Below are 23,962 nucleotides of genomic sequence, written 5' to 3'. Positions count from 1 at the left end.
CAACATGGTTATTATCCCCTTAAGCTCACATTTGGAATCAACCATAAGAAGTAGGATATCATTACCGTACAGCTGAATGGCTTTATTAACTTATTTTTGGAAATTAGATGACAAATGCAAGCACAGTCTTGTTTAACAAGAAGCATTTCCCAGTTGTTTCTATGAGAATTTAAGAAAGGTTCTAGAAATGCAAATAGAGAGAACCCAGTCAAGTCCTGAAATCTCAGTGCAGCAGAATTGAGAAAGTGAATAATGGCCCACAGGTCACAGGAAGGCAATGAATACGCTAATCAAAGGTTGTGATTAATGAATGTTGTCTCACATTTCATCTGGCATAACATGTGTCCAATTGATCATTTTTAGCATAGCTCATCAGAGGAGAAAAACTTGGTGAAATATGATCTGGTGGGGCAGGATGCACCAGTTGCACAACAGACATAAGCTGCTCCACTTTGGCCACACCTGTATAAAACATGAGAAAAGTAGGTTTTCATAGAGGTTGAGGCATATCTAACTACCTCAAGTAGAAAAAGAGTATCCATTTATTTAATGAGGGAGAGAGCAGTGGAAAGGCTCAGCCTCATCCAGGCTGAGAAGTGATTACCTTGGAAATGCTGTTTGTTTTGATTGAGAAAGTCAGCTGAGAATGTATTTTAAATAGGCAGAAAATATATCTATCAAAGAAATACTATGCAGTCATCAAAAAGAATGAGGCATGTTTGGTATTTTAATAGTTATCTCCAATGTTTATAATAAAGTGATAAATGCAATATATAGATAATTATATAGTGTATGACAATTATGAGAAAAATGAAATGTACATCTGCACATACATAAGGTTGCACACACAAAGGATGCCTCTGGGGGAGGGAAATTGGGTAGCTGGGACTGAAAATAAAGATAAACAGGAGACTTATGTTTCAGTCTATATCTTTTGAATTTATTTGTATATGCACCTAGATCCAGATAGTTTTATTTCTCGGTTGAAAAAATTAAAAAAGAATAGGAAAAAAGAAAATAACAACCATAGTTTAATTTTTTTTTTTTTTTTTTGAGACAGAGTCTCGCTCTGTCGCCAGGCTGGAGTACAGTGGCACAATCTCTGCTCACTGCAACTTCTGCCTCCCAGGTTCAAGCAATTCTCCTGCCTCAGCCTCCCAAGTAGCTGGGATTACAGGCACACACCACTACACCCAGCTAATTTTTGTATTTTTAGTAGATATGGGGTTTCACCATGTTGGCCAGGATGGTCTCGATCTCTTGACCTTGTGATCTGCCTGCCTTGGCCTCCCAAAGTGCTGGGATTACAGGTGTGAGCCACTGCGCTCAGCCTAATTTAATTTTTAAAAGAGCTGGAATGCGTCCATTCCTTTCCCATTTGCAAAGGGCTCCAGAATCATCCCAGATGATGGCTTTCAAAATGATAGTTCAATAAGGGAGATTTAGGATAAAGTGCTTCTTTCTGATGCTTCACTTAAGGGTCCCTGAGAGTATTAGTTTGCTAGGGCTGTTGTTAAAAAACAAAAACACAAACTGAGTGACTTAAACAGCAAACATTTATTGTCTCCCAGTTCTGGAGACTAAAAGGCTGAGATCAAGGGTGTCAGGAGGATTGGCTCCTTTCGAGGGCTGCAAGGGAGAACCTGTGGCTCTCTCCTAACTTCTGGTGTTTGCTGGCCGTCTTTGGCATTCCTTGGCTTGTAGAGGCATCACCCTAATCTCTGCTTTCATGTTCATGTGTCACTGTCCTTGTGTGCATGTGTGTTTATGTCCAAATTTTCCACTTTTATAAGGACACCAGTCATTGGATTAGGGGTGTGCTCTAGTGACTTCAGGTTAACCAATGACATCTGCAACAACCCTATTTCCAGATAAGATGACATTCTGAGGCACTGGGGCTTAGGACTTCAGCATAAGAATTTGGAGGGGACAGCACTCAACTCATGACACCAAGGGACACTTACCCAGAGTTAAACTGCTTACTGAGGGGAGGTTTTTGCTATGTGTCTATGAAGCACAGATAGTAACATGCATCTCCTCATGCCCGAGATGTATAAAGTGAATACACGCTGGTATGATTGAAAACCTTAATATTTTTTAACGCACTACCATCCTCTGAGGAAAGAAGAGAGCTTAAACTTGCTTAACTAAGAACAACAGCTTGTTGGAGCGATAAATCCATGAAACAAAACTCAGATCCCCTGCTCTTCCCTCCCCATCCATGCCAGCTAAAGGCATGTGCACACAGCAATGTTTATTAAACACCTACTGATGCCCGATACTGCACTGAGAGCCAGGGACGGAGTTGGACAGAACATCCTCCTGCCCTTCAGGTGGAGAAAAGACACATAAAATAATGCAGGCATGCACTAAGTGACTATGCTTCAGTCAACAACAGACCGTATATAGGACCGTGGTCCCGCAAGACTATGATGAAGCTGAAAATTTCCTATCACCTAGTGGCATTGTAGCCATCCTAACATCACATAATAATGCATTGCTCACATGTTTGTGGTGATGCTGGTGTCAACAAAACTACTGCATTGCCACAACATATAATTGTGTACAGTCTATAATATTTGATGATAGTGAATTACTATTTTACTAGTTTGTTTTTACTATAGTATACTTTTAATCATTATTTTAGAGTGTACAATTTCTCCTTATTTTTAAAAATTAACTTTAAAACAGTCTCAGGCAAGTCCTTCAGGAAGTATTCCAGAAGAAGGCATTGTTTTGTTTTTGTTTTTGTTTTTGAGACAGAATCTCACTCTGTCACCCAGGCTGGAGTGCAGTGGCATGATCTGGGCTCACTGCAACCTCCGCCTCCTGGGTTCAAGAGATTCCTCTGCCTCAGCCTCCTGAGTAGCTGGGACCACAGGCATGCTCCACCACGTCCAGATAATTTTTGTATTTTTAGTAGAGACAGGGTTTCAACTATTGGCCATGCTGGTCTCGTACTCCTGACCTCATGATCCGCCTGCCTCAGCCTCCCAAAGTGCTGAGATTACAGGTGTGAGCCACCGCGCCCAGCCAAGAAGGCATTCTAGGAGATGGCAGGTCCCTGTATGTCATTGCCCCTGAAGATCCTCCAGCAGGGCAAGATGTGGAGGTGGAAGACAGCAATACTGCTGATCCTGACCCCATGTAGGGCTAGGCTAATACGTGTTCTAGTGTCTTTCTTTTTAATTACAAAAGAGTAAAGAAGTTTTAATTTTTCTTAAGTTTATAAAGTAGAAGAAGTTATAGTAAGCTAAGGGTAATTTATTATTGGAGTAAGAAAAATTGTTTGATAAATGTAGTGTAGCCTAAATGTACAGTATTTATAAAGTCTACAGTAGTGTACGGTAATGTCCGAGGCCTTCACATTCACTCACTGACTCACCCAGAGCAATTTCCAGTCCTGCAAGCACCATTCATGGTAGCTGCTCTATACAGATGTGCCACTTTTTACCTTTTATATCCATATTCATACTGAACATTTTCTATGTTTAGGTAGGAAGTATTTACATACACAAATACTTACCATTGTGTTGCCATTGACTACAATATTCAGTACAGTGACATGCTGTCTACTTTTGTAGCCTAGGAGCAATAGGCTAGACCAAATAACCTGGGTAAGTAGTAGGCTCTACCATCTGGGTTTGTGTGAGTACACTCTATGCACTTTGTACAATTACAAAATCATCTAACAATGCATTTCTCAGAACACGTCCCCATCGTCAAGTGGCACATGGCTATAATTATATCACTATAGTATAGTAAATGTAGAGCCATGACCAAGGCAGAAAGAAAACCGTTAACTCCACTTGGCGATGCCAAGGAAGGTGGCCTATGAGAAGTGTCATAAGAGATGACTGTGAAAGGCTGACTCTGAGGGAGGTGAGGGCAGGAGGAGGTGACTAGGGAAAAGGGAGTCCTGGGGCATGTCGTGTCTCAAGCGGGGGAGCCCAGACAGACTCCTGGTTACCAGGAATGGAGACAGGAGTTGGAAGTAAATCTCAAGTGCAGACGAGCTTCTGAAGGAGCTTATCTTCAGCCTGAGGATTTGGGACTTCTTTATCCTCCAGGAAACCCTGGAAGATTTAGAGGAGCCACTTGGTCAGATTTCCTTCTTTGAAATATATTAGATTGGTGCAAAAGGAATTGTGGTTTGGGACTGTGAATTTTAGATCCTTATAACTAGACTCAAACACATCTTTATTAATTCAAATAGGAACAATTACTATCAACACATTTTTGCCAATGAGAAATAAGTTTGTTTATTCCTGTAGCATAAAGGTCTGTGCTTTGGGATTCAATGAACACTTGGAAAGCATTTTCTGCACACTGCTGGTTGTGGAAGCAAAAAGTTGTTGAGATGCTTGAAGAAGTGGTAGTCGGTTGGCGAGAGGTCAGGTGAATATGGTGGGTGAGGCAAAACTTTGTAGCCCAATTCGCTCAACTTTTGAAGCATTGGTTGTATGACGTGCAGTCGGGTGTTGTTGTGGAGAAGAATTTGTCCCTTTTTGTTGACCAATGCCAGCTGCAGCCACTGCAGTTTTCAGTGCATCTCATTGATTTGCTGAGCAGACTTCTCAGATGTAGTGATTTCGCCAGGATTCAGAAAGCTGTAGTGGATCAGACTGGCAGCAGACTACCAAACAGTGACCATGACCATATTTTGGTGCAAGTTTGGCTTTGGAAAGTGCTTTGGAGCTTCTTCTCGGTCCAACCACTCACCTGGTCGTCACTCGTTGTTGTATAAAATCCACTTTTCATTGCATGTCACAATCCGATCAAGAAATGGTTCATTGTTGTTGTGTGGAATAAGAAAAGACAACACCACCAAATGGTGATTTTTTTTTACTTTCAGTCAACTCATGAGGCACCCACTTACCGAGCTTTTTCACCCTTTGAATTTGCTTCAAATGCCAAAGAACAGTAGAACAGTCGATGTTAAGTTCTTCGGCAACTTCTCGTGTAGTTGTAAGAGGATCAGCTTTAATGATTGCTCTCAATTGGTCATTGTCAACTTCCAACAGCTGGCCGCCACACTCCTCATCTTTAAGGCTCTCGTCCTCTTTGCAAAACTTCTTGAACCACCACTGCACTGTACATTTGTTAGTGGTTCCTGGGCCGAATGTGTTGTTGATGTTGCCAGTTGTCTCTGCTGCTTTACAACTCATTTTGAACTTGAATTAAAAAATTGCTTGAATTTGCTTTTTGTTTAACATCATTTCCATAGTCTAAAATAAACATAAAATAAACAGCAAGTAGTAAGTCATTAGCAAAAAAACATAAAGCGAGAAATGCCCATTAAAATGATGTATAACATAACCACATTTATTTAAGAATGTATTCCAATATCAAACAGCAAATTCCAACAATGCAAAAATGCAATTAACGTTTGCTCCAACCTAATATTTTCAGAGAGAATGAATAATGGGGAAAGAAACTGAAGAGAAAGTAACAGGCAAGGAGATATTTGCAGGTGAGAAAAAAATTATGACCAATAGTCTAAACAGTGGTAGCGGTGGCATGAATAGAGAAAACAGGGGCACCCTTATCTTGCCCGATTTGTACAAATTCAGTTAATTCTATTTTAACTTATTTATTTGTGTTATTTTTCAGATGACAAAAGATAATACATACTCACTGTAAAAAATTTTGGATTAAAACATTTAAAATGTATAAGGAATACAACAAAATCGCCCCTTAATTACTCAGAAATAAGCATTCTTATTAATGTTTGTGTATCCTATTAAGTTCTTTTCAAAATCATATCTATGTACATATATAGTCATTTACTCAGACTTTTATAAACAGCTTTTTCCACTTTATATATTTCCCTATTAGTAACTTTATAGAACTTGATTTTTGATTGATGTGCTATATTTATTTAGCTAATCTAGAGGACAGATTTGAAAACTGTTAAGGAATTATAAATTGCAGTAGGAGGTGATTAATTAGCTGATGGGGTATGAGGGAAAGGAAAAAAACTGAGCAACCCCAACTTTTGGGCTAAAGCCCTTCTTTTTACAGCTTTCTTCTTGTTTTGGCCAGAACTGGAGGGTCCATCTTGTGAAAAGGAGGTGGCAGAAGGATCTGTGAATATATGTTACATTCAACCTCAACGATGGTGAACATAAGCACTGTTCAGGGCATGCAGACACAGCCCCAGGTTCACAAGCTGCCAGAACATTCATTAAAGTGGATAAAATGGCCTGCAATGAAATCCTCAAAGGATGTGGTAGATAAAGCAAATGCCCTCCTAAACACAGCTGCAGGCTGCCAAAACCCCCAGCCACACCTGGTGAGCATTCTCAGAGAGGAGCAAGTAGAGACAGCCTTCCCTGCCAGGAGGGAGTCCCTCTCCAGGCTGTGTGGCCCTGGCTGTGGTCTCTGCACCTGCCGCTTGCCTGATGGCTTTCTTGCATTCTGGGAGGGCATGCCTGTCCGAGCACTTCCTCTGCTCAGTCTTTCCATAGCGAGAGGAGGAAGAGCAAGAGGAGTCAATACCTGTGAGGCACAATAAATCCAACTGAGGTGAATAATAAAGCGTATTCATTTCCAAAAACTTAGAAGACAATGTTAGGGCAGATATTGGGAAAGAAACTGACTAATTGACCCAGGCTTTCATTTCAGGCTCAGTTTGGTTTCCATTGCCTAACACAACTCTCCTACGCTCCTGTGCCTCTTCAGAAATGGCTTCTGATTGAAACACAACCTGTGTCTTTTGATTGATTGGGAACTGAAAGATGTTCCTCTTTTAATCTCATGGATGGAACCCAATATATTTCACTTTCTTCTTTGTGCTGATAGACAAAGCCTCGGAAAAAAATGCTATTTAAATAATAGCTTTCACTGACAGTAGACTCATGGGAAAATTGTCCTTCCTTCCTTCCCTCCCTCCCTCCCTCCCTCCCTCCCTTCCTTCCTTCCTTCCTTTTTTCCTTCCTTCCTTTTTCTGAAGTGTATGGACCATTATTGCTTTTACTTTGTCTTATTTGGCTTATGGGAAACCGTGGGACTCCTCATATATCTATGTGCTGAGCTGACATAAGGGGGACTATTAACCGCTTCTATGCAGCATTTATTTTGCTGAAGAGAAAACATGGAGTGTGGCTTTGTTGAAAAGCTCCCCATCATTCACAGTTCACTGAAACTCATCCATTCAATCATCAAGCACAGATCTACCTCTGCTCCACTTGTGCCTGGGATGGTGCTAGATGCTGAGAACGTGCCATTGCCCACATGTTCTCAGCATCTAGCAGAAGAATCAGTTCCAGAGCACACTCACCCAGCTTCTGGAATCTCACAGGTTAGTTGGGAGGTCACTTAAATAGAACACGACGTGTGCTGTAAACAAGTTAAGCACAGAGTGCAAAGGAGCATCTAATTCAAGAGCTGCTTAGGATGGTTTTGTAGAGAAGGCATGTATGATTCTAAAATGAAGGCATGGCACGTGCAAGGCTGTGGTGTTACAAGAGAACTTGGAGCATTTGGAGAAGCGGACGTAGCGCAATGTGAGGCGAGAGATGAGAGTGGTACATCCTAGCAAGGAAACTCCCAGTCTTGGAGGTAATGGAGAACCATTGATGAATTTTAAGGATTTTAAGAATAGGCATAATGTAGTCAAATTCACACTCAGTGAAGTAGTCCTTGAACCATTGTTCACTGCACCACATGGTCACAGTCTTATTAAGCTGACAGTTGAAAGTTTCATTGGAAAACAAACCTGGCAGTTCTTGAAATGGAAACATGAAGGTAATGCAGGGCCTACAACTCTAGGTTGCAAAAAGATCAAGGACATTTCATAGATCTTGCCTTACTTTTCCTCTTAGGGCAAAACACACATTACAAAGACCCTCAAATGATGCTCACTGTTACCAACATTTTTTTCTAATCTTACATCTTTCATCCTAAATGCTCATGAAAGACATGTTGCTTCTGGTTCAAACTTGGGCCAATGACAATGCTTTTCATGTTTGTTGACCCAATAATCAGCCATTGCACTCAAAGACTTAGAGCGGATCAGTTTAAAAACAGCTATTACTGCATTTGAACTACAGCTCCCCTCCAGCCCTCTGTATGTCTGGGCTTGCTGCTGCCACAGGAAAGCTCCTAGTTCTACCCAGGGAGGGATTGTGTTTCTCAGCCTGTTTCAGCACCAACCCGTAAAAGCTGCTTATGTCAAATGTCAGTTAATTGCAAACTTACCCGTGAGGTTTAATTGACCTTATTCCACAACAAGTGTGGCCATATGAAATAAACCCAAAGATTCATGATCAGGCAGGTCTAAGTGTTGCATTTTGGAGAATGGCAAGGGGTCGTTTTTGGAAGGAGATGGAGCACCTCCTATGCTAATCTCATGAGATTAGCTTTAAACATCTTCAGTTTCCTCCAGTCAATAATTTGTTATGGAACTGTCATTTTACATTTAAACATTTTTTGAACCCTTTTATTTTTGCACCCTTTAGCGTTGGGATAAAAAATTCTTAAGTCATATCTCCTCCCCACTCCCACCACCGCCACACTGTTTTATATAATACTTCCTTTTACTATTTTACTGTTTTAAATTTATCTACCTTCCTGTCCACACCCCCCACCCCCGCCTCACCCTGTTGCTTCAGAAAAACTCATGATTTGTGGAGGAGTAAATGCTCACAACTATCTATTCTCTCAGCCCTACATCTCTCTCAACTTGCGTCTCTCTGGACAGAACAATTTTTATCTTTTTAGCAATTCTTATACCGCAGTTCCCCTTCACTGCCATAATTCTGGTGAACTCACTGTTTGAGATCAGTCTCCACTGTTCCCCATGGAGATCACCAAAGCCGATACTACCAGAAGCTCACATTTGAGCCCTGCAGAACATTGAGGAAAAGAGCATTTTGGGTTTGGTTTGATTTGTTTCAGCTATTTTTTCCCCTCTCTAGAAACATGGGTAGGTGGAGCTTACCAGGTGAGGTTGCTGACTTTCTTCTCTAGAGTCTGTAGAGTAGAGTATCTACACAATATTCCATTTGTGAAAATTTGCACAATAGACTAGATAAACAACGGATTACGGAGAAAACAGCCCTAATACTCAGACCCTAAAGCAGTGCTAGGTTAACAACAAGGTGCTTACTTGCTTGGGGTGCCAGCCAAAGTCAGAACAATGAGGCTTTCATGGACTTATCCAGAATTTTATAACTGATAAAAAGAAATCATTTTATGTTTTGTGGTTTAGTATTGCTTTAATCTGGGTTTATATATGGGAGGAGGCACCAAAATATTTCAGTGCTTGGGGACTTAGACTAAAAGCCACAAGGAGGAAGAGAAAAAGCAGGAAACAGGCTGCCCTTTGTCACGGACCTTGTCTTTCCTGGCACTCTTTGGCTCTGGTTTTCACAGACATGAGTCTGATGAGAATGCTGAGTGATTGGCTTCCAGTCTCAGCAGAGTGTATATGAGGAAAGAAAGCACTGGTTGCCTTTGCTACGTCTAGCCTATGTCTCCACCTCCCCCAGTGTATCCTAGTTAGCCCCTCCCCAAGCTTACCCCCTGGTCATTCTCACGGGGTCCTGTTTTTTACCCTAGGCCTCTTAGTGCTCTCTGTTCCCGCCAAAATATCTTTCAGATCCGTTAGTCATATTAAATTAGCAACAGCTCTTTACAAGTTAAAGGTCTTCTCCCTCCCACAGATAATGTCATACCAACACGGGTTAAAGTCTTAGCTAAAGAAGGAGTGTCTAACTTTGGATTCTCAGTCATAAACCAGTGGAAAGGACATCTGACTAGGGGGCAGGTGATCTCAGTGCATCTAAGCTCCCGCTGTATGGACTCGTGCTGCCTAACAGAGTAGCTACCAGTTGCATGGGACGATTACAATTTAATTAATTAAAATTACATAAAATAAAAAACTCACTACCTCAGTCACACTGGCCACGTTTGACCCACTCAATAACCACATGTGGCTGGTAGCTCCCACATCGGACAGCACAGATACTGATCATTTCTGGTCTCACAGGAAGCTCCCCATTGGATGGTGCAAATCTAAGTAATTTCCTTCTTGGCTTATGCAAAGGCAAGGCCCTCCCCAGTGCAGGGTTGCTCAGGCTTAGCACTATTGCCATCTTGGACTGGATTCTTCTTTGTTGGGGGTGGGGATGTCCTGTGCATTATAGGATGTTTAGAAGCCTCCCTGGTCTCTATCCCCTACATGCCAGTAACAGCCACCGCCCCCCCCACCCAGTTGTGGCAGTCAAAAAACATCTCGAGACATTGCTAAATGTCCCCTAGGGGACCCCTACACTGAAGTTGGCTGGAGCTCTGGGGATCAGGGAGGACATCTGCAAGCGTGCTTATGAGTTGTAAGCTCTAAGAGGGGAGGGACATTGCACAGGGCAGGTCAGGCACATTGTAAGTGCTCTTAAAACATTACAGTTGAGAAGAATTTCAGAGTAACATTTATAGCCAAGAAAGATATTCTTCCCCCAACTTGGGCATTCCCTTGATGTTAAATTGTCCTGTGCGTCAAAACCCTAAAGAACTGCAGGGAAGCCTATAACCCCAAAGGAAGGCAGAGAAAGGTCCTGGGGGACAGGTTGTGGGGTGAGTTAACTTATTCCAGCCAAGGTGAAGGAGTTGCCCCGGGCTTCACTCTGAGACTTGGAGCCTAGTGTGCTAAGCTCCCAGTTCCCAAAGTGACCATTCCCACGCTGAATGTCATTACTGCCTCATCAGCAGCTTGTCAGCTGTAATTTCTAATCCCAAGCCGGGTCTCTCTTCCCAGGACCAAAGTCATAAAGATGTTTGCCCTTGCACGGGTGTTTGACATGTGCTAGGCCATATTTGTGCATTTGTCTTAGGGCCCTCTTGAGGGCTTAGCACTTCTCTCTGACCCAGGCAAGACTTTATGTGCTGTGCATTCCTCCTGAACATGATGTCATGCTTGTGCCTCACCATGGAATTCTGCAGCCAGGCACTGGGGCTCAAGTCCAAAGACGGGAAGACTTAAAAGGCTCAAACAAGCAAATGTTTGTCATTATTTAAGATTTTAAGACAACTGAATTCTGAAATGTTTATGGTCCTGGCCTCCTTTGTGGGTCATCAATGACCTCTTCCCTTTTAGGAGGTATCTCATGGAGAGGGCGTCTTGGCCTGCTCCCCTCTGGGGCCACTAACTCACACCAGAGCTGACTCAACCATTCCAGGGGAAGATTGGTAAGAAGTTTATTCACCAGACATGTCTAGCTGAAATGAATGAAATCAAACTCAGCAGAAGTCAACACTTAGCACGGAAGGCAAAGTAGAGACAAAGGGTCACCCGGCTGCTGCACACCGGCCTTTAGCTTTAGCTCAAGTTGTTCTGCTTTAAAGGACAATGCCAATCATCTCATAAGTAAATGAAGACAATGATTCAACAGTGCTGTCAAGTTTGAGAGAAAAGAGAAGCCATCCCTACACCCAACACTTAATATATTGTTAGGCTTGGGGTGGGTTGCCCAGTGCCTTCTGGGATGACCTGTGCTCTTTTCTTTTATCCAGGAGCAATTAGAATCAATCTGCTTCATCTGGAAGTTCTGCCCAAGGGTCTGGCACCATAGGAAGTTGTCCAGGATTATTTTAACCCTGTTACAGGATCCAAGTAATTCCTGATATGTATGAATGTAAAGCCCATTCTTGTATTCAGCGTTTCTCAGTGGAGATACTTTTGACATTTTGGGTGGGATGAATCTTCCTTATGGGAGTGTCTCCAGCACACAACAGGGCACAGAATGCAAGTGGTGTCCTCCTCTGGTCATTGTCACAACCATCCACCCACCAATGCACGCACTCCCAGGCACCACGTGGTGGGTGGCACTGCCCCCACTGAGCACATTGCAAGCTTATTGCCACAGAAACTAGAATGCTAGTACTACCCATGGGAGCAGGCAGCAGGCCTGTTCTTTATTTATTTCACTCTTTGATTCTGCAGACCTCAGATTTACCCACTGTTATTGATCTGTGGAAGGCTTTTGACTGTCCATTTTCCCCCTAGGGTGAGCTCATATAAGTGGAAGAGAAGCAAAGAGATAGCTGTTGCACAGCTGTTCCATTCCTGCTCCCTGTTGATCTCCTAATGTTGTGAATACACCCTAAGAATTCTCCCAGGTGTGGATTAAGACGACTTAAGCCAGGAGGAAATTTGCCCCAAGGCAAAGCATCCTCTTTTCCCTCTGCAGAAACTTTGTCCAGGCACCCTAGCATGAGGGATTGCCTCCCCATCTAACATCTTCACACAGGCCCTCTTGCTGGACCCACATTAATGGACGGCAGCTTCTGACTTCCAGCAGGCCCTCTTTCACTTTCCATCGTCTTTCTCTGTCTGTGTTTTATAGCATGAGGCACTGAAGTTATCAGGTGATCAGAGAAGACTAGAACTGGATATAAACCAACAGATCATCGAGTAACGTGGCTTTCAACCTCCAGACTTCGAGGTCTATTGACTGTGAAGATACTGGAGGGGACTCAAAAGCTATTATCATTTTCTAAAATGGTGTCAGAACTGTTCGATGTACTTTAAATAGGACTCACAGGTGTATTAAAATGTCAAGTTTTCTTTTGCCTAAAACTGTATGAACGCGGTGCAATAACTGGTTATTTCAATGCTGACAAAAGTTCTGATTGACAGAACTTGCACTCATTATATATCACTCAGTACCTAATTGATATGATAATTTTGAAATCAGGAAGACTGTGGAGAGAGATTAGTAAGAGGTCCTTAGTGGTAAAAGGACTAAGGAAATTGTAGTCCGATTGTCTCTTTCTTCAAAAGTTGAGGCCCAGAGATGTTAAGTGACTTGCTGACAGTTGGATGATTAATGCCCTAGAACTATGGTGGCCATGCCACACCAGTACAGTCCCTATGTGCTCCTGTTGTCCCAGCATCATCACCAGTAGGAATCCCTGTCGCTCTCAAAAGAAATCCAGTTTGATTAATAAGTTACATGGTCACTCTACCTAAAACCCAAGTCTCCAACTGCCAATTCATCCCTTTTCTCACCACACAACTCTACCTCTTTCTCTCTTTTTCCTGGTTCTCAAAATTGTTTCTCCTATCTGAATGCATCTCTTATGTTTTCACAAGTAAGTCATCCTCAAAGTTTGGGCGACTATAAATGACAGCTCCAAATCCAGATGGCCTGAACCGTGGGACCTTTTGTTCCTGAGTGGAGGGGGAAGGAAGATGGTACGGGGCAGGGGCAGCTGGGCCCCAGGCAAGCCCAGGGCCTTGCCCAAGCCTCAGACAGCCACCCATGTGCTCCTGTGTTCTCAGTGACAAAGGCCAGGAGGGGCAGAGGGAAGCTGGTGAATTTTTATGATTTAAAAAATATGAATCCACACTGGATAGAAAAAAATACAATGTAAAACACCACCCATGCCGCTCTGAAAGTCTAGAATGTCCAGGTGACTCCAGAATGGTGTTCATAGACTTTGGCAATACTTTGAAAACCTCTGTGAACAATAAAAGTTAAGCATGAGAAAGAAAATATTTCCCATAAGAAAATGTAAACCCTTTTCCTTGTCTGCCACATGGGGCCAAACATACCAGTGTGTTTAATTGGTAGATCAGTACCACTCTCAAGAATTTCTTAGATGCCATAAACACAGAATGCAATTTTGGTGGAGTCCCACAGCAAGCTATAATCATGAGCAGGGAGGACCTGGGTTCAGCAGCTGTGCTTTATTCCTGTGTTGCTTTGAACTCACAGCAGAGCTAAATACCCGGCTCATAAGACCTTCTGATAACAAAGTCCAGCGGACTTGGGAGAAACTTGGGGTTTTTTTTGTTTTGTTTTTCCTTTTTTTTTTTTTTTTGAGATGAGGTTTTTGCTCTGTTGCCCAGGCTAGAGTACAGTGGTAAGATCTCGGTTCACTGCAACCTCCGCCTCCAGGGTTCAAGAGATTCTCCTGCCTCAACCTCCCAAGTATCTGGGATTACAGGCATGTGCCACGACACCTGTCTAATTTCTGTATTTTTAGTAGAGACGGGGTTTCGCCATGTTGGCCAGACTGATCTCGAACTCCTGGCCTCAGGTGATCCGCCCGCCTCGGCCTCCCAAAGTGCTGGGATTACAGGCGTTGAGCCTCTGCACCCAGCCAAGAAACTTGTTAAAATGAAAATTGGGTCTATGTAGACTGGGAGATTAAAAATGACTCCTTTTTAATGTAAGGAACTTTGCTTTACTGTTTCATTAAAAGGTTTGCCAGTGCAAACCGAAAATGTAGGAGCCCTTTTTCAAAAGCAGGAACAAAAACAACCTCTGCTGTGAAAGGTACTAAAATAAAAGCCGCTTTTTTTCTTCTGCAGTCTCTCTTTTGACTTGTCACAAGGCTTTTAAAATCATTCTTATTCGCTATTTAATGCCACTCTAAGTAAAGGAAAATTAAAATTTTAAATTGTTAGCATGAATCTTACCATTCATCTTTATATTGTGCAAAGCCAGCTTTAAACGAAAATATAAGAGCATTTAATTTGTATGCTAAATTGTTCCAAATGATGCAATTTGCATATTTCATTCTTACCAGAACAGTGGAAAATGCTGCACAAAACTAATTCAATGCTTTTATTTCGCTTCTCAATAATGCACATTCTTTTTTTTTTTTTTTGAGACAGAGTCCCTCTCTGTCACCCAGGCTGGAGTGCAGTGGCATGATCTCAGTTCACTGCAACCTCTGCCTCCTGGGTTCAAATGATTCTCATGCTTCAGCCTCCCGAGTAGCTGGGATTACAGGCACCCGGCACCACACCCTGCTAATTTTTGTATTTTTAGTAGAGACAGGGTTTTGCCATGTTGGCCAGGCTAGTCTCAAACTCCTGACCTCAGGTGATCCACCACCTCGGCCTCCCAAAGTGCTGGGATTACAGGCGTAATCCACCGTGCCCGGCCTGATACATGCACGTTCTATCAATGCTCTCTACCTTTGGCTTACTGACAAGTAAGGAAGAATTTAAAAAAGGCCTATGGGTTGCCTTATCTTTCTATTTCTTTCTGTGTCTTCATTTTCAGTTTAAGTTGTTTGCAAATGCAAAGAAGTAACATGAGTAAGAAAGGTCAAACCAAGTTTCCTTGGTCATATGTGTTTCTTAGAATACCACTGCTGCCTTTGTGTTTGAAGCAAGTTTTGGTTTTCAAATGGAAAGTGTGGCCTCTCAGGGCTGTCAGTGTCCCTCCCCCTCCCCAGCTAACTCATCATAGACAAAACACACTTGGGAGTCACTTAGAAGCTTCATGAACTCCCACACATTGTGAATACACCAGAATTCTGAGTTCATGGCGAATGCTCCATGTGAATAGGGTGACAAGAAAGGACAGGCACACGTATCTCCTGTGTTTCTGCTCATTCCATGCTGTCTCATCAGAAGTCACTTACAAAATACAAGTTTCAAGAGGAAATTATTACAATTTTAATACGGTGGCCGCAGAGCATGAAACCCATCAAGAAGTCCTTCTGAGCACCAAGTCCTATGCAAGCACACAGGTGACGTGCCATGAAGCTGGCCCTGCACGTGGGGTGGCACCATGCATGAAAATGGTGAAGAGATCCCAGGGGATCGGGCGGTGCACTGAGAAGGAACACCAGGCATCCAGACCTGCACACAGGGCAGTGTGCACAGCAGGAGTCCAGGGCAGCCAGAGATTCACTACCAGAGGTACAGCCCGAGAGCACATGCCATGCCAGGAAAGAGGAGACAGGCAGAGACAGGAAGATCAAAGTGGAGGGAGAAAAGCCAGATTACTGGTTAACTAAGACACTCAGCCGGCAGTGTCAGGAGAGAGCCACAAAATGAAGGCAAGGGAATCACGGAAGCCAGATACTAGCAAAGGGGCATCGGAAACCAGTGGCCACGTGGCTCTGATCCCAAGCACTGAGTGCCCTCCCCGGCATCCTTGTGGGGCTGTGAGGTTCGTTTCATGTGTCTGGACGTGGCTCCTCAGCGTGGTCTTCCAGCTCCTCTCATCCCTCTACCCTCTTGGTAAAAACAAGACATCTTCTAGGAGTGAGGCAACCTCCCCGCTGCCCTGTAGAGAGCCACACTTCTGCTTTTCTAGTGTTCTAAGAATGCTTTTCCTGATTTATCATCGTTAAGAATGGGTGGGAAACTAGCTATGTTGAACATGTGACGTGCAAGGTGGTTAATGGTGATCCACCAATGAGCAGGACGCCAGGACCTTGTGCAACTGGGAGACTTTGCAACACCACAGCGGAAGGCTGTCCCTCAGAGGTTTGTAGCCACCTAGGGGCCTCCTTCTATCACCCATGACTAAGTCTTCTGCATTAGCTTAGAGCAGTGTTTTTCAGCCTTGAAACCATGAACATTTGGGGCCAGACAGTTTTCTGTTGTGGAAGACTGTCCAGTGTACCGTAGGATGTTTAGCAGCCTCTCTGGCCTCTGTTCACTGCATGCTAGTAGCAACCCCCTTTCCCTACCCTGTGACAAAAATGTCTCCAGACGTTGCTAGATGCTCCCTGTGGGAAATCATCACCCTTGGTGAGAACCTGTGACTTTGAGCCCATGAGCCCTGCAGAGGATCATGTCTGAGAGGACGCCACTCCCACCACATGCTCTTCCAGCTGGAATGGTTGTCTTTGCAGTGCCTGCTTTTCTGAAAGTGTCTCTTTATTGCTTTGGCTTCCTTCTAGCACTATATTCCCCACTCCTGGGCAAGTTAGTAAGGCCTGGGGGTATAGTAAAGTCACTCAGTGGGCAAGTCTCCTTGCTCTGTGTTCATCCAAAGAGAGTTAGATCAGCCTTGAAAGTCACTGCAAAATATATATATCCTGAGGCCTACAAAGATTTTTGTGAGCTCACCGTCCCTTTGCTAACTCTCTAGGGCACTGTGTACTACTATGTAGCAAGAGCTCAATGTTTGCCAGCCTTGTCATATGTTTTGTCTCTTTTAATCTTCAAAGAGAAAAAAATAACTCCTATAACATAACAGCGTATCTCCTATAACTTATAAAAAATTCCTATAAAGTAGTATTGACTCCCATGCCGGGAATTAATAAGTAACTTGCCCAAGACCACCCAGGTAGTAAATGGATTTGAACTTGGGTTTTTTGGCTGCTGGTCTAAGACCTTTTCTATCAATGCTTCCCTGGCTTCGTGCATGTAAGAATCACCTGTGGGTGTTTGCAAACAATGCAGGTCCCCAGGCCTCGCCCCTAGAGCCTTGGTAGGCAGGTTTAGAGCAGGCCCCAAGAATCGGGATTTGAAACATCTGATGAAACACGTCATTCCGGTAATGACTGTGCAGGTGACTGCCCCTTGAGTAACACTGAACTCCATTATTCTGTGCTTCCTGGCAAACCATCAGGGAAGGAGGGAAGGAGAAAAGAGAAAAGAGAGGAGAAGGGTTGAGAGAGATTGAAAGCACTCAGGCTGATGCAGGGTTGAGAGGAGCTGGTTTCCTCCTTCCTCTCTCATCCTTGCAGGCTTAGCCACATGTCTGACAATGGCAATACCGTGTCCAAAACTCCACACCCACGAGATGCCCCTTGACCTCTCCTGCCTCTGTGTGTTTGGGCAGCCTGGGTGTGGGTTCCCCCAGCTCAGTCCTCAGGTGCCAGGACCAAAGCTCCCATCAGTGAACCTGACTAATTCACAAAGCATTTCTTTTTTTTTTTAAGTTCTGGGATACATGTGCAGAATGTGCAGGTTTGTTACACAGGTATACGTGTGCCATGGTGGTTTGCTGCACCTATCAACCCGTCATCTAGGTTTTAAGCCCCGCATGCATTAGATATTTGTCCTAATGCTCTCCCTTCCCTTGCCCCCGGCCCACCAACAGGCCCTGCTATGTGATGTTTCCCTCCCTGTGTTCACGTGTTCTTATTGTTCAGCTCCCACTTATGAGTGAGAACATGTGGTGTTTGGTTTTCTGTTCCTGGGTTAATTGGCTGAGGATGATGATTTCCAGCTTCATCCATGTCCCTGTAAAGGACATGAACTTGTTCATTTTTACGGCTACATAGTATTCCATGGCGTATATGTGCCACATTTTCTTTATCCAGTCTCTCGTTGATGGGCATCAATTCACAAAGCACTTGCATCAGCTTCATTTGATTATGGAAATTAGCCCACTAACATTGCATTTCTTTGTTCACAGATACTTTCTAAAATCCTTGGCCTTCGCTAGAGACTTTCCTGGAAGGTTTGTCTCCCCTGGCTAGATCATGAAAAACCTGGATCAGCCTTAAGTTGGATATCTGGTCACTTTTGCTTTTAAATAGTCTGGCAAAGCAAGAGGTACAACACATCCTGGTTTGATGTACTTTCCAGCAAAAAGTATTAGCAAAACAATAATAATATTCAGAGGGCTCAGTTCCCAGTAGAATTCAGCACATACTCCAGATCTCCTGAGGTTCAGGTCTAGTTGAAGGGAAAGGAATGACTGAGATGAGTTTGAGTTTCAGACTTGAGTTTCTCCCAGCTCCCTTGAGAGGCAAAGAAAATCTGCCGATAAACACGAAACAAAGCTCATTGTCCTGCTACTTGTTTGCAAGCAATTGTATGTCTGTCCTGCAGACCTCACTGGGCTCACGGCATTTTGAATAGCTTTCTGTGATGTAACGCACACAGGTTTTCACTCACACTATGCGCAGGGAATTCAGCTCTCGGAGTCATGACTACGTCATCCTTCACCTCTCAAACCATCGCTGCTGGTGGCCTTCGCTTTTATTTGTTAAGCTGTAGCTTCAGGAAAGAGCCAATTCCCTCCCTCCCTCCCTTCCTTCCTCCCTCCTTCCTTCTTTCCCTCCCTCCTTCCTTCTTTCCCTCCCTCCTTCCTTCTTTCCCTCCCTCCTTCCTTCTGTCCCTCCCTTCTTCCTTCCTTCCTTTCTTTGCCCCTCCATTTCCCTCCCTCTTTTTCTTTCATTCCCTATCTCCCTCCCTTCATTCTCTCTCTCTCTGTCATGGTTAACAACACATGCTTCAACAGGTTTTTTTTTTAACCTCTTAAGAGGTATATGGTTAAAAAGTCTCTTTGCTATTCCTGTCTTGTACCTAAGCCACCTACCCCCACCCCACCCCTGCCATACACACATTCATACACACAAGTAAACCATTGGTACTGATTTGATGTTTTTCCTTCCAAAGTGCTTTCAATATATATGAAAGCACATTTGAATAGATGTTGTCAGCCCCCAAATGACAGCCTGTAAAACACAGTGCTCTGCATCTTACACTTTTCACTCACCATTATATCTTAGAGATCTTTCCAAACGTAAAGACCTTGTACATTCTTTTTTATGGCATCATAGTACTCCAGTTGTATAGATTAGCATCATTTATGTAGCCAATCCTCTATTAACAAAAATTCAGGTTGCTTCCAATATGTTGCTGTCACCAACAATGTTGTAGCACGTAGCCCTGCACTATGTCTTCCTGCACATGTGCCAGTCTGTGTGCAGCATAAACTCCTGAGGATGGCATTTGAGGATGAGTGGCTGTATGCACCTGCAGTCTGGATAGATACGAACAAATCGCTTATCGTAGGCACCGTGTGGACCTCTCTTCCACCAATAGTGCAACGGGACCTGGCAGTCCCTATTGCAACAAGTTCCTGAGGCTTTCCTGGGATAAGAAAAAGGCGAGAGAGTATAGAAGGTTATTTAATTAGAAGACCAGGTTCCCCCTCTCACTTCCCAAGCCACAACCATCAAAATTCTCAAACCTGATTCTTTATGATACAACCCAAGAAAGATATATTTTTATTTTTAAAATCGTAACCTAATGAATTAGGATTTTTTTGACTGTGAGTAACAAAATACAGTTCAACTCAGCTTGGCAGTGGACTGGGGGAGAAAGAGCGGCAGGGCGTGGTCACTGTAAGAAGAAGGACACATCTCATGGTACAGTAGGCAGGAGTGCAGCCGTGCTCCCAGGAGGGACAGCATCCAGGAGCTGGGAGACCACAGGACAGCCAAGGATACAGGGCCTGTCACCCATTGCTGCTTCTATTTGGATCTTCTTTCTTGAAATATTTTTTTCCTCTCTTCTATTCAATCCTCACAACAGGTAAAGGTGGAAGCTCATAGTGACCAAATTCACAGTTGGAGACAGACTTTGTGTGCATGTGTGCATGTTAGTGTGTATGAGTGTGTGAGTGTGCATGAGTGCGTGAGTGTATTTGCTTGTTAGTGCAAGTGTGCACCAGTGTGTGAGTGTGCATGTTAGTGTGCGTGAGTGTGCATGTTAGTGTGCATGTTAGTGTGTGTGTGCATGTTAGTGTGTGAGTGTGCATGTTTGTGTGTGCATGTTTGTGTGAGTGTCCATGTTTGTGTATGTGTGCATGTTAGTGTGTGGCATGTGTGAGTGTGCATGTTAGTGTGTGTGTGTGTGAGTGTGAGTGTGCATGGTTAGTGTGTGCGTTAGTGTGAGTGCATATTAGTGTGTGTGTCCGCATGTTAGTGTGTGTCCGCATGTTAGTGTGAGTGTGCATGTTAGTGTGTGTGTGCATGAGTGTGTGATTATTTGCTTGTTAGTGTGAGTGTGTACCAGTGTGTGTGTACATGTTAGTGTGTGAGTGTGCATGTGTGACTGTATGTGAGGGTGCATGAGTGTGTGTGAGTGTGAGACTTGTGTGTATGTTAGTGTGCATGTGAGTGTGCATGTGAGTGTGTGGGTGTGTGAGAGTGTGAGTGCACAGGATGCTTTTCTGCTTTGATTCCCCATTCCCAGAAAAGGGCGTTGGCCCTGAACTTGGGGCCAGGCACCCAGCCTGGGCCAGGCAGCTGTGAACAGCAGAGCTTGGTCATGTTGTCCAAGCTGAAATGTGGGTCCCGCTGTTCTGAGTGGGCAGAAGAGCCAGGGGAATCTTTTCAAGCCGAGCAGATATTCCACATGGCATCTGCACAACCACAAATAAAGTTGTTTATCTTTGTCACTTTAATATTATAACAAAAGCATTATAAAAACAAGGCAGAAACATAATGAACTCTAAGGCCCAATAAATCTCTTGGTTAAATGGCCCTCGTGGTTTCTGAAGTTATCCCAGAATGGGATAATGGCAGAAATGAATTAGGTATAAACTGGACAAATTCTCACCTCTCCTGTTGTTTCTTTTCAGCCAATAGTTTCCTAAAAACTGGGTTATCAGAGACGCTCTTTTAGAGTAAAACAATTTTTTTTTTTTACATTTTTAAAAACAGAGCTTCTCTCCAATGAATGTCCAGAAAGACCATACATTTCAGGGCTGGCCTACAGGACATATTTCAAAGTGATGTGTAATGTCATTTTAGAAGAGTGAGCTGTTTTCTGTTGTTTTTTTTTAACTTAAAGACAAAATGGCCAGGGAAAAAGCTGCCAAGTCTCTGAGTAATCTTATTGAGGGTTCAGCTTTCTAAGTATGACCTTATGCTAGCAACAGCCCCTGAGTAACAAGAAAACAAGCCAAGCTAGGAAGCCTTGTTTCTATGAGACGAAATGGTAAGACAGCAAAGTCTGAAGGTGAATTCTAATTATGTAACATGAGTGAGTCATCAACGCCGTCAGCGATCACAGACAATGATGCAGTGACCCGCCGTCTCCCCACACTTGCAAAGCACAGAGGCTGTGTTTCTCATCCCCCGCTCCACACCTTCCTCTCACCCCTCCTTCCTTCCTTCTTTTCTATTTTTCTCTTTTCTTTTCCATTTTGTGCTGCATTACTCAGGGTTCTCAGAACCAATAAGATACACATATATATTTAGAAAGTGATTTCTTGTAAGAACTTGGCTCATGTGATCATGGAGGCAGGCAGGTCCCAAGATCTGCAGAATGAGTTGGCAAACTGGGGACCCAAGAGAGCTGATGGTGTGGTTCCTGTCTGCGTCTGAGGCTCTGGAACCCAGGAGAGCGGATCACATAGCTCTAGCACAAAGGCCAGCAGGTTTGAGACCCAGGAAGATCTGATATCTCCATTTAAGTCCAAAGGTGAGAAAAAGCCAATGTTCTAGTTCAAAGACGACCAAGCAGGAGGATTTCTCTCTTGCTCAGGGGAAGGTCCACCTTTTTGTTCTATTCAGGCCTTCAACTGATTGAACAAGGCCCACCTGCATCGGGAGGGCCACCTGCTTTACTCAATTTACTGATTTACACGTTAATCTCATTTCAAAACACCCTCAGAACACCCAGAATAATGTTTGCCCAAATGTCTGGACATCCTGTGGCCTAGTCAGGTGGACGCATAGAATTAACTATCACGTGTGCCTTCCTGTTCTCGGGTGCACTGGCCACGCATGCTGTCACCCATTTCCCGTTTATCATCTTTTCTTTACAGCCAAGTTTCTAGAAAGAGAAGTCTAGACTGTCTGCAGTTTCTCATCTCTCATTCACAAGTCAACCCAGCGGCAGTTGGCGCCTGTCCCCATCATTTTCTTGAAACTGATCTCAAGAATCTGCATAATCTAATTGTCAAGTTCTTTCCTCTGTTCTTTGTGTAATAACGCACCATCCTGAATCTCTCCTTCAGGCCTCTCTTCTCTGTGCGGCCCTCTAGGAGTGATAGTCCCCAGGATCCTACCATCTTCCTATCTATCTTTTTTTTTTTTAATTTATTTTTTTGAGACGGAGCCTCACCCTATAGCCCAGGCTGGAGTACTCACTGCTACCTCCACCTCCCAGTTTCAAGCAATTCTCCTTCCTCAGCCTCCCGAGTAGCTGGGATCACAGGCCCGCACCCCCATACCCAGCTAATTTTTGTATTTTTAGTAGAGACGGGGTTTCACCATGTTGGCCAGGCTGGTCTCAAACTCCTGACCTGAGGTGATCTGCCCGCCTCGGCCTCTCAGAGTGCTGGGATTACAAGTGTGAGTCACCGTGCCTGGCCCCCTATCTCATTTAACAAGCTCTGTCTGGCAGATGTTATAAGCTCTCTTGCTTTAACTGCCAGCTCTAGGCTCATGACTATAAAATCTCTGTCTTCAACATTCTCTCTCTCTGAATCTCAGACTTGGGATATATAACTGCTTACAGATTCTCTCCCCATTGGATAGTCTCCACATGAAACTGGAACTTAACATGCCGCATTCAAATTCACCATTTCCCCCGTAGACTTAATTCTTAATTTCTTCTTTCTCAGAATGATACTAGCATCCATGCAGTCTCCAGAGGTTTTATCCAGGAGACATTTATTACCAACGGCTCCGTCTCCCACCTTGTAATTCAAATCAGTTACTATGCTCTTTCGGTTCTCCTTGCTAAATATCCATTTCCTCTCCTCTTCACTGTCCCTGTCTCCAGCTTAATCCGAACCTTCCTTATAATTCTCAACTGGAGTATAGCTTTATAATGGATTTCTCTCCACCTCCATTTCAACTGCCCCTTCAATGAATTAGTGACTATTTTCAGTGTGATTCTTATGCAAGAAAATGTGATCGAGTTAATTCCCACTGAAAGCATTTCCAAGCCTACCCCATTGCCTTTAGGATACAATATGAAGACAATTGCAACAGTCCAGGAGAGAGACTGTGAGCTAAGACAGAGGCAACTGAGATGGAGACACAGGACAGAATGAAGGGAGCTGGGAGATCCTACAAGCTAGAAATGCCAAGACCCCATTACCCATGAGACGATCAGACGTGGGAGTGAGAGTAAAGGGAGATGAAGGAAATCCTCTCCATCCTGACTTTGATGATAAAGTGAGTCATAGTCTTGTTCTCTGAGCTGGGGAACTCTAGATCCTGACTTTCCTCAAAGCAAACAGCAAGTGAACTTACTTGGGTGGGGCACCCTGTCTGGGGAAGCAAAGCCTTCAGGAAACTCAAAGGTCTGCGTAGAGATGAATCAGAGACTCAATAACGAAGAAATAAAAATTAATACCAGATGGGTGAAGGAGGCAGTTGAAAGTCCTTGTAAATAGTCAGCATCCAAGAGTGCTGCAGAAGTGGAAGGTGCCACAAACAATGCTCTTCTGCCAGGAGATTCCTAAAAATCTGCTGGCAAAGACCAGAGAAAGAATCAGAGCCA

The 23,962-nt window shown here is 43.7% G+C and overlaps 1 protein-coding gene and 1 long non-coding RNA gene across 8 annotated transcripts in view, besides 1 other annotated feature; one reads left to right on the top strand and one right to left on the bottom strand.

Moving 5' to 3' along the window:
* NEDD9 (neural precursor cell expressed, developmentally down-regulated 9) overlaps window positions 1-23,962 on the top strand; it is a 199,051-nt gene that overhangs the window by 42,375 nt on the left and 132,714 nt on the right. The window lies entirely within an intron of this gene.
* The window catches only part of LOC105374925 (uncharacterized), a 44,069-nt gene continuing 24,290 nt past the window's right edge, over window positions 4,184-23,962 (bottom strand). For 3 of the 6 annotated variants that reach the window (XR_926470.3, XR_007059446.1, XR_007059447.1), the window contains 2 exons: window positions 19,212-19,588; window positions 5,305-18,469 (listed from right to left, as the gene is read on the bottom strand). This is a non-coding gene — a long non-coding RNA (uncharacterized LOC105374925). Of the gene's footprint in view, window positions 5,229-5,304; window positions 23,929-23,962 lie in introns of those variants that run through there. The other 3 variants (XR_001743967.2, XR_007059448.1, XR_007059445.1) reach the window with 3 other exon arrangements.
* Window positions 21,512-21,731: an enhancer, noted in NCBI's record as "active region_23984". NCBI's record gives its function as "activates an Ori minimal core promoter by ATAC-STARR-seq in GM12878 lymphoblastoid cells {active_cell/tissue: GM12878}" and the evidence as "EXISTENCE:reporter gene assay evidence [ECO:0000049][PMID:35858748]".

This window comes from Homo sapiens, chromosome 6 (genome assembly GCF_000001405.40).
Source record: "Homo sapiens chromosome 6, GRCh38.p14 Primary Assembly".
In the NCBI taxonomy this organism is placed as follows: Eukaryota; Metazoa; Chordata; class Mammalia; order Primates; family Hominidae; genus Homo; species Homo sapiens.
This window is presented reverse-complemented; position numbering and strand designations above follow the sequence as displayed.